General features: G+C 44.3%; 1 pseudogene, besides 1 other annotated feature; it reads left to right on the plus strand.

Annotated features, from left to right (window-relative positions):
• On the plus strand, positions 1385–2283 carry OR11H5P (olfactory receptor family 11 subfamily H member 5 pseudogene; annotated as a pseudogene).
• Positions 3910–4710: an enhancer, noted in NCBI's record as "H3K27ac hESC enhancer chr14:20679982-20680782 (GRCh37/hg19 assembly coordinates)". NCBI's record gives its function as "activates a minimal SCP1, AML or CMV promoter by ChIP-STARR-seq in primed H9 embryonic stem cells {active_cell/tissue: H9 hESC(primed)}" and the evidence as "EXISTENCE:reporter gene assay evidence [ECO:0000049][PMID:30033119]".

Here is a 9849-nt window from a genome sequence, read left to right on the forward strand (position 1 = left end):
TGAAATCATACAGTATTTGTCTTCCTGAGCCTGGCTTTTTTCACTTAGCACCATGTCCCTGGGTTCATCCATGTTGTCACAAATGACAGGATTTCCTTCTTTTTTAAAAGCTGAATAGTATTCCATTGTGTGCGTATACTACACTTCCTTTACCTATTCATTCTGTTTGACTTTTGATCATTGACCTTCCAAACTTATCTAGATTCTGACTTTCTTGTAGGTGGGAAGTAGAGATTACAGTCGAGATGTCGAAACCTACAATCTGTAACATGTAACAGTACAAGAATGAATTCTTGTAGCAGAACAATATATTGTAACAAATTGTTTATTTTAATGAGAGAGATTTATGTTTAAATGATTCAAAACTCTGCATTTGTTTATGGTAGTAGAAATTCCATTTACAGGGAAGTTTAAAAGTGTGAAGTAAATTTAAGGAACAATCTCAGGTAACTATTAACTCTCTACTCTCCAGAAAAATATTGCCATGATATTTTCTCTTGGATTCTATGCTTAGACTTAAAATTCACTAATACAGAGTGAATAATGGCCACTCATAGCTCTCAAGTATCTGAGAAGTATGTCAAGTATTTTCCACCTTGGGAAAGATGTCAGAAAAAGTAGTTATTTTACTCCTAATTCTTGGTTTAAAAATTAAGTCAAACTAACAAGCTGCTTTATTAGAAATAATTAACTGTGGGTGGGAAAAAGAAATACAAACAGCCACTTTGCTGGCTTTCATAGAGGATAATGGTTCTGAGCTTTCAAAATTTCAAAGGGAAGGGAGAATTCTTAAAAATCACCCACTGATGAAAAATATCTGAATAATGTAGATTCTATTGTTATAACCCTAATTTTAAAGAAATCTGGGGCCAGGCACAGTGGCTCACTCCTGTAATCCCAGCACTTTGGGAGGCTGAGGCGGGTGGATCACCTGAGGTCAGGAGTTCGAGACCAGCTTGACCAACATGGAGAAACCCCGTCTCTACTAAAAATACAAAAGTAGCCGGGCATGGTGGTGCATGCTTGTAATCCCAGCTACTCGGGAGGCTGAGGCAGGAGAATCGCTTGAACCCAGGAGGCGGAGGTTGTGGTGAGCTGAGATTGGACCATTGCCCTCCAGCATGGGCAGCAAGAGCAAAACTCCGTCTCAAAAAAAAAAAAAAAAAAAGAAATTTGGGATCATTAGCATTGTTGATTTGTAGCTTCTGAATAAAAGTTAGGAGTCAGTGGATGGGTTATTGCAAACTAATTGCCAAATAGCCAACATATATAGCTTACACAGATTTACTACAAGTCTTTCAGAAAACAAAACTGTTTGTATAAATGGTGTTTTCTGTCATCTCTACAGCCCTGGAATTCACAAACAATTCAGAGACAAGCACTATGACGGAATTTGTTCTCCTTGGCTTTCCTGGTTGTCAGGAGATGCAAAGTTTCCTCTTCTCCCTGTTCTTTGTGATCTATGTATTTACCATAATAGGAAATGGGACCATTGTCTGTGCTGTGAGATTGGACAAACGGCTTCATACCCCAATGTATATTCTCCTAGGGAACTTTGCTTTCCTTGAAATCCGGTAAGTTACTTCCACTGTACCCAACATGCTAGTCAACTTCCTCTCAGAGACAAAAACCATCTCTTTTGTTGGCTGTTTCCTCCAGTTCTACTTTTTTACTTCCCTTGGTACAATAGAAGCATACTTCCTCTGCATCATGGCATATGATCGGTACCTTGCTATCTGCCGCCCATTGCACTACCCAACCATCATGACCCCACAACTCTGCTACATATTGATGTCTTTTTGCTGGGTGTTTGGATTCCTCAGTTACTCTGTCTCCACTGTGCAACTGTCTCAACTGCCTTTCTGTGGGCCCAACATCATCAATCACTTTTTGTGTGACATGGACCCACTGATGGCTCTGTCCTGTGCCTCAGCTCCTATCACTGAGATTATCTTCTATATCCTGAGCTCCCTCATTATCATTCTCACTCTTCTGTACATCTGTGGCTCCTATATGCTTTACTGATAGCTGTATTAAAAGTCCCTTCAGCAGCTGGCCAGCAGAAGGCCTTTTCCACCTGTGGATCTCATCTGACAGTGGTGTGTTTATTCTTTGGGGCCCTACTGGCAATGTATGTGAGCCCCACAACTGATAACCCAGCTGCAATTTAGAAGATTATAACTTTGTTCTATTCTGTGGTGACCCCCTTCTTAAACCCCCTGATTTACAGCTTACGAAACAAAGAGATGAAGGCTGCGTTGAAGAAAGTCCTGAGGATAGAATGAGAATAAAGTCATCTACATGAGACCAAGCAAACCATTGTTCAGACATAAAAGATTAACTAAGAAATACCTGATTTTCTGATTCTACTTCTCCAATACACCCTTTAAAGAAGATATTTTCTCAGCGAGGTCCCTCATTGTTTTATTTCTTAACTAACCTGGCAGAGCTAAACCATAGTTGATTCATATTCCATTCCAAATGAAACAATCATATTTTCAACACAGGTGACTCCAGTAGATGATATTTGAGGGTATTTTATCTGTCCTATTTCATACTGTATCGTTTTGATTACTGGAGACAGGGGTGGAAGATAGAAGAGCAGTTATGCTTAAGATATTTCTTAAGACTGTTCAATATTTTTAAAGTGAATGAAGAATCAAATTTAAATGTCTAATGAATACAGAACTAAAGGATTTAGTAACAGAGCAGTTTTCTTGCCCCCTTGGCTCTTGATGGCTGAAAGTCTTACAGACAAGGGACAGACTGAAAGTTTAATGCTTATGTAAGCAGCATGTGTTTTAACATCACATAAAATAGTAAAATCATGGTCATTCTTTCATTCAACAAATATTAATTGAATACCTGTTATGTTCTAGGCACTAGATATATACTATGATCAAAAGAATCAAAACCACTATCTACCTGGCATTTACACTCACATAAGGGAGAAACGGACGATAAAAAAATAAGTAAAATATATAGCATATCAGAGAGTAGTAAGCGCTATGCAAAAAGGACAAAGAGGACAGGAAATGTGGGAGAAAGAAAAGAGCTGCCATTGTTAAACACGATGATCAGAGAGGCTACACTGAGAAGGCAACATTTAAGCAAATGCTTGAAGCGGATGAGGGAATGAGCCATGTAGACAGTGAGAGAAGAGCATTCTAAAGAGAGGGAAGCAAATTATCTTAAAGATCTGGAGGCAGGATTGTATCCAAGTAGCAGCAAGGAGGTTGGTTTGACTGGAGTAAAGAATTTAAGTCTGGGAACAGTGGCTCACACCTGTAATCCCAGCACTTTGGGAAGCTGAGGAGGCTGGATCATGAGGTCAGGAATTTGAGACCAGCCTGGCCAATATGGTGCAACCCTGTCTCTACTAAAAATACAAAAATTAGCTGGGTGTGGTGGCACGAGCCTGTAATCCCAGCTACTCAGGAGGCTGAGGCAGGAGAATGGCATGAACCTAGGAGGCAGAGGTTGCAGTGAGCCGAGATCACACCACCGCACTCCAGCCTGGACGACAGAGCAGGACTCCATCTCAAAAAAAAAAAAAAATTTAAGGGGAAGAGTAATAGAGATGAAGTCAGGGAGTGAACAGCATTCCAAATTCTGTGGGACCTTGTAAACTATAGTAATAACTTTTTTAAAAATTATAAATTGACAAATTAGAGTTGTGTATATGTATGGGGAACAAAGTGATGTTATGATTTATGAATATAATGCAGAATAATTGAATCAGCTAACATATCCATCACCTCAAATATTTTCTGTAGTGAGAATATTTGAAATCTATGGCCGGGCACAGTGGCTCACGCCTGTAATCCCAGCACTTTGGGAGGCCGAGGCAGGCAGATCACCCGAGGCCAGGAGTTCAAGATTAGCCTGGCCAACATGGTAAAATCCCCTCCCTACTAAAAATACAAAAATTATTTGGGTGTGGTGGTGCATGCCTGTAATCCCAGCTACACAGGAAGCTGAGGCATAAGGATCACTTGAACTCGGGAGGCAGAGGTTGCAGTGAGCCATGACTGCGCCATTGTACAACAGCCTGTGATAGAGTGAGATTCTGTCTCAAAAAAAAAAAAAAACAAGAATATTTGAAATTTATCGCTCTCCCTCTCCCTCTCCCTCTCCCCACGGTCTCCCTCTCCCCAGGGTCTCCCTCTCTTTCCACGGTCTCCCTCTGATGCCCAGCCGAAGCTGGACTGTACTGCTGCCATCTGGGCTCACTGCAACCTCCCTGCCTGATTCTCCTGCCTCAGCCTGCCCAGTGCCTGCGATTGCAGGCGCGCGCCGCCACGCCTGACTGGTTTTCGTATTTTTTCGGTGGAGACGGGGTTTCGCTGTGTTGGCCGGGCTGGTCTCCAGCTCCTAATCACGAGTGATCCGCCAGCCTCGGCCTCCCGAGGTGCCGGGATTGCAGACGGAGTCTCGTTCACTCAGTGCTCAATGGTGCCCAGGCTGGAGTGCAGTGGCGTGATCTCGGCTCGCTACAACCTCTACCTCCCAGCCGCCTGCCTTGGCCTCCCAAAGTGCCGAGATTGCAGCCTCTGCCCGGCCGCGACCCTGTCTGGGAGGTGAGGAGCGTCTCTGCCCGGCCGCCCCATCTGAGAAGTGAGGAGACCCTCTGCCTGGCAGCCACCCCGTCTGGGAAGTGAGGAGCGTCTCCGCCCGACAGCCACCCCGTCCGGGAGGGAGGTGAGGGGGTCAGCCCCCCGCCCAGCCAGCCGCCCCGTCCAGGAGGGAGGTGAGGGGGTCAGTCCCCCCGCCCAGCCAGCCGCCCCGTCCGGGAGGGAGGTGGGGGGGTCAGTCCCCCGCCCGGCCAGCCGCCCCGTCCAGGAGGGAGGTGGGGGGGGTCAGTCCCCCCGCCCGGCCAGCCACCCCGTCCAGGAGGGAGGTGGGGGGGGTCAGTCCCCCCGCCCGGCCAGCCGCCCCGTCCGGGAGGGAGGTGGGGGGGTCAGTCCCCCCGCCCGGCCAGCCGCCCCGTCCAGGAGGGAGGTGGGGGGGTCAGTCCCCCCGCCCGGCCAGCAGCCCCGTCCAGGAGGGAGGTGGGGGGGGTCAGTCCCCCCGCCCGGCCAGCCGCCCCGTCCAGGAGGGAGGTGGGGGGGGTCAGTCCCCCCGCCCGGCCAGCCACCCTGTCCGGGAGGTGAGGGGCGCCTCTGCCCGGCCGCCCCTACTGGGAAGTGAGGAGCCCCTCTGCCCGGCCAGCTGCCCCGTCCGGGAGGGAGGTGGGGGGGGCAGCCCCCCCGCCCGGCCAGCCACCCCATCCGGGAGGTGAGGGGCGCCTCTGCCCGGCCACCACTACTGGGAAGTGAGGAGCCTCTCTGCCCGGCCACCACCCCGTCTGGGAGGTGTGCCCAGTGGCTCATTGAGAACGGGCCATGATGACAGTGGCAGTTTTGTGGAATAGAAAGGGGGGAAAGGTGGGGAAAAGACTGAGAAATCGGATGGTTGCCGTGTCTGTGTAGAAAGAAGTAGACATGGGAGACTTTTCATTTTGTTCTGTACTAAGAAAAATTATTCTGCCTTGGGAAAAAAAAAAAAAAAAGAAATTTATCATCTTAGCAATTTTAAAATTTATAACACATTATCATTTACTATGTTTACCACCCTGGGCAATATATCGCCAAAAAAAAAAAACAAAAAAAAACTGATTCCTCCTGCCAGAGGCTTTGCACCCTTTGTCCATCATTGCCTCACCATTATCCACACCCCACTTCCCTGGCCTGCTTCCTTGAGTTTGAAATTTGGAGATTCCACAAATAAGTGAGAACATGTGGTATATTTGTCTTTCTATGCTTGCCCTGTTTCACTTAGCATAATGTTCTCCATTTCCATCCATGTTGTCACAAATGACCAAATTTCCCTCTTTTTAAGGCTGAATAGTATTCCACTATGTACATACACCACATTTTCTTTATCCATTTATCTGTTGATGGACATTTAGGTTGATTCCATAACTCAGCTATTGTGAATAAGGCTGCAAGGAACATAGGAGAGCAGACATCTCTTTGACATACTGCTTTCAAATCATTTAGGCAAATACCCAAAACTGGGATTGCTAGATCATATAGTAATTCTATTTTTAGTTTTCTGAGGAAGCTCCATACAGTTTTTCATAATGACAGTACTAATTGACATTCTCACCAACTGTGTGAAAGGGCTCTCTTTTCTTCACATTCTCATCAACACCTGTTATCTTTTGTCTTTTATTATAACAGCCATTCTGATAGCTGTGAGGTGAAATCTCATTGTGGTTTTAATCTGCATTTTCCTAGTTATTAGCGATGGTGAGCAATTTTCATATACCTGTTGGCCATTTGTGTGTCTTTTTTTGAGAAATGTCTATTCAGGGCCACTGCCCATTTTTTAATCTGATTATTTGTTTTCTCTCTATAGAGTTGTTTGAGTTCTTTATGGATTTGGATATTAACCCCTATCAGATGTATGGCCTCAAATACTTTCTCCCAGTCTGTAGTTATCTCTCCATTCTATCAATTGTTTCCTTTGCAGATTAGAGCTATACTGACATGATCCTATTTGTTTATTTTTGCTTTTGTTGTCTGTATTTGGAGGTCAAATCTGTACAATCATTGCCCAAATCAATATTGGGTAGTGTTTCCCCTATGTTGCCTTCTCATTGCTTAGAGTTTCCGGTCTTATGTCCAAGTCTTTAATCCATTTTGACTTGATTTTTTTTATATAGAGTGAAATAAGAATCCAATTTCATTCTTGTACATATGAATATGCAGTTTTCCCAATACCATTATTAAAGAGACTGTCCTTTTCCCAATGTGTATTTTTGACACCTTTGTCAGAAATCAATTGACCATGCATAGGTTCACTTCTGAGCTCTCTATTCTTTTCTATTGGTTGATGAGTCTTTTTTACACTAATTTTAATTGACATGCTGTTTTAATTACTATTACTTTGTTGTATAGTTTGAAATCAGTGTGATGCCTCAGCTTCGTTCTTTCTGTTCATAACTGCCTTACTATTTGAGGGATTTTGTGATTCCATATGGATTTTAGGGCTGTGTTTTCTATTTCTCTGAAGGCTGTCATTGGTATGACAGGGATTAATAGGGATTACATTGACTCTGGAAATCACATTGGGTAGTCTGGACATTTTAACAATATTAATGCTTTTAATTCATGAACACAAGATATCTTTCTGTTTATTTGTGTCTTCTTCAATTTATTTTATTTATGTTTTATATGTAATTCTGCATAAGATGAGAAGCATTTGGGAGGTTTTGAGCAGGGAAGTAACATACTCTTATTTACATTATAAAAGAATTATCCCCCTGACTGTTTTGTTGGCAATACACTAGAGAGAGAAATGGGCATTTTAAAACTCTTATTTCTAATTGTCAAATTTAGAAAGTTTTGGTTTTTTATACTTTTTTTCAAGACAGTGTCTCATTCTGACTCCCAGGCTGGAATGCAGTGATGCAATCACAGCTAACTACAGCCTCAACCTTCCCAGGCTCACATGATGCTCCCAACTCAGCTGTCCGAGTAACTGGGACTACAGGCGTGTGCCTCCATGCCCAGCTAATTTTTGTATTTCTTTTTTTTTTTTTCTTTTGTAGAGACAGAGCTTCACCATGTTGGCCAGGCTGTTCTCAAATTCCTGGGCTCAAGTGATCCTCCTGCCTCAGCTTCCCAAAGTGCTGGAATTATAGATGCTCACCACTGCTCCCCGCTCGTTTCTTTTTAAAGGAATTTGTATCTGTAACCTATTTGAGGATATATATTTGGGGAGGGGAAAAGAGTCCTCTAGTTGCCCCAGAGGCATAGGAAGTCCTCTAGACCCTAAGAAATTCTAATTCTGGAATGGTTCCATGATATTAATTAAAAGACAATGCCTCTGGGGCTGTTTAATGACACTTAATCATAATTATAATTATATAGACATTTATAAAATATTTTCAAGTCTATTATCTCATTTAATCCTCTTATTAGCCCTATGAGTTACACAGGAAGGATAAACATGGCTTTAATATTTGAGGAAACCAGAGCACACCAAGCTCCTACAGCTAATAAGTGAAACTATTCAAACTAAGACTCATACTTTCTATGTCATGATTTTCTCTATATTTTCTCACTACCTTCTGTTTAAGTTCAACTCTGTTCCCACCCAAGTGCTCCCTGTTTTTAACCCAGGTCACCCCATTTCATACAATGCCTGAATAATCTTCTCCACCATTTTCTGCCTATCCCAAACCTCTTTCAAAAGCTCCTCTAGATGTTTAATCTAGTAACGCTTTTCTAAATACCTAAGTCTTAGCCTGACATAGAATATCACCTGCAACTTAGTTCCATGGGCCAGTTATCCCTTCAAATATCACTCTTAACCTTGTCTCCCAAACATGTTTAATTAATTCCCAGTTCTACGGAAATCCCTCCCACACTTAGAAGTGCTTTCAAACATTCCTAACCCGGACTCTAACGTTTTATGATCATCCGTAGTGGCTTTCAAGCTTCCACGTGCATTAGAAACACCTAGAGACCGGGCATGGCGGCTCATGCCTGTAATCCCAGAACTTTGGGAGGCCGAGGCATGTAGGGTCCAGCGCCACAGGGTCGGTGGGTCTCTCCCCGTGTGCGGAGATGAGAGTGTAGAAATAAAGACACAAGACAAAGAGATAAAAGAAAAGGCAGCTGGGCCCAGGGGACCACTACCACCAAGTCGCGGAGACCGATAGTGGCCCCGAATGCCAGGCTGCACTGATATTTATTGGATACAAGACAAAGGGGCAGGATAAGGAGAGTGAGCCATCTCCAATGACAGGTAAGGCCACGTGGGTCACATGTCCACTGGACAGGGGACCCTTCCCTGCCTGGTAGCCGAGGCAGAGAGAGAGAGGAGACAAAGAGAAAGATAGCTTATGCCATTATTTCTGCATATCAGAGACTTTTAGTACTTTCACTAATTTACTACTGCTATCTAGAAGGCAGAGCCAGGTGTACAGGATGGAACATGAAGGCGGACTAGGAGCATGACCACTGAAGCACAGCATCACAGGGAGACAGTTAGGCCTCCAGATAACTGCGGGCAAGCCTGACTGATGTCAGGCCCTCCACAAGAGGTGGAGGAGTAGAGTCTTCTCTAAACTCCCCCTGGGAAAGGGAGACTCCCTCTCCTGGTCTGCTAAGTAGCTGGTGTTTTTCCGTGACACTGAGGCTACCGCTAGACCACGGTCCGCCTGGCAACGGGTGTCTTCCCAGATGCTGGCGTTACCGCTAGACCAAGGAGCCCTCTGGTAGCCCTGTCTGGGCATAACAGAAGGCTCGCACTCTTGTCTTCTGGTCACTCCTCACTATGTCCCCTCAGCTCCTATCTCTGTACGGCCTGGCTTTTCCTAGGTTATGATTATAGAGCAAGGATTATTATAATATTGGAATAAAGAGTAATTGCTACCAACTAATGATTAATGATATTCATATATAATCATATCTAAGATCTGTATCTAGTATAACTATTCTTGTTTTATATTTTATTATACTGGAACAGCTTGTGTCCTCGGTCTCTTGCCTTGGCACCTGGGTGGCTTGCTGCCCACAGAGGCAGGTAGATCACCTGAGGTCAGGAGTTCAAGACCAGCCTGGCCAACATGGTGAAACCCCATCCCTACTAAAAATACAAAAAAAATTAGCCTGGCATGGGGGATCATGCCTGTAATCCCAGCTACTTGGGAGGCTGAGACAGGAGAATTGCTTGAACCTGAGAGGTGGAGGTTGCAGTTAGCCGAGACCATACCACTGCACACCAGCCTGGGCAACAAACTCCGTCTCAAAAAAAAAAAAAAAAAAGGAAGAAAGAAAGGAAAGTAAAAGAAAC

The sequence above is a fragment of the Homo sapiens genome, chromosome 14, assembly GCF_000001405.40.
Source record: "Homo sapiens chromosome 14, GRCh38.p14 Primary Assembly".
Taxonomy (NCBI): domain Eukaryota; kingdom Metazoa; phylum Chordata; class Mammalia; order Primates; family Hominidae; genus Homo; species Homo sapiens.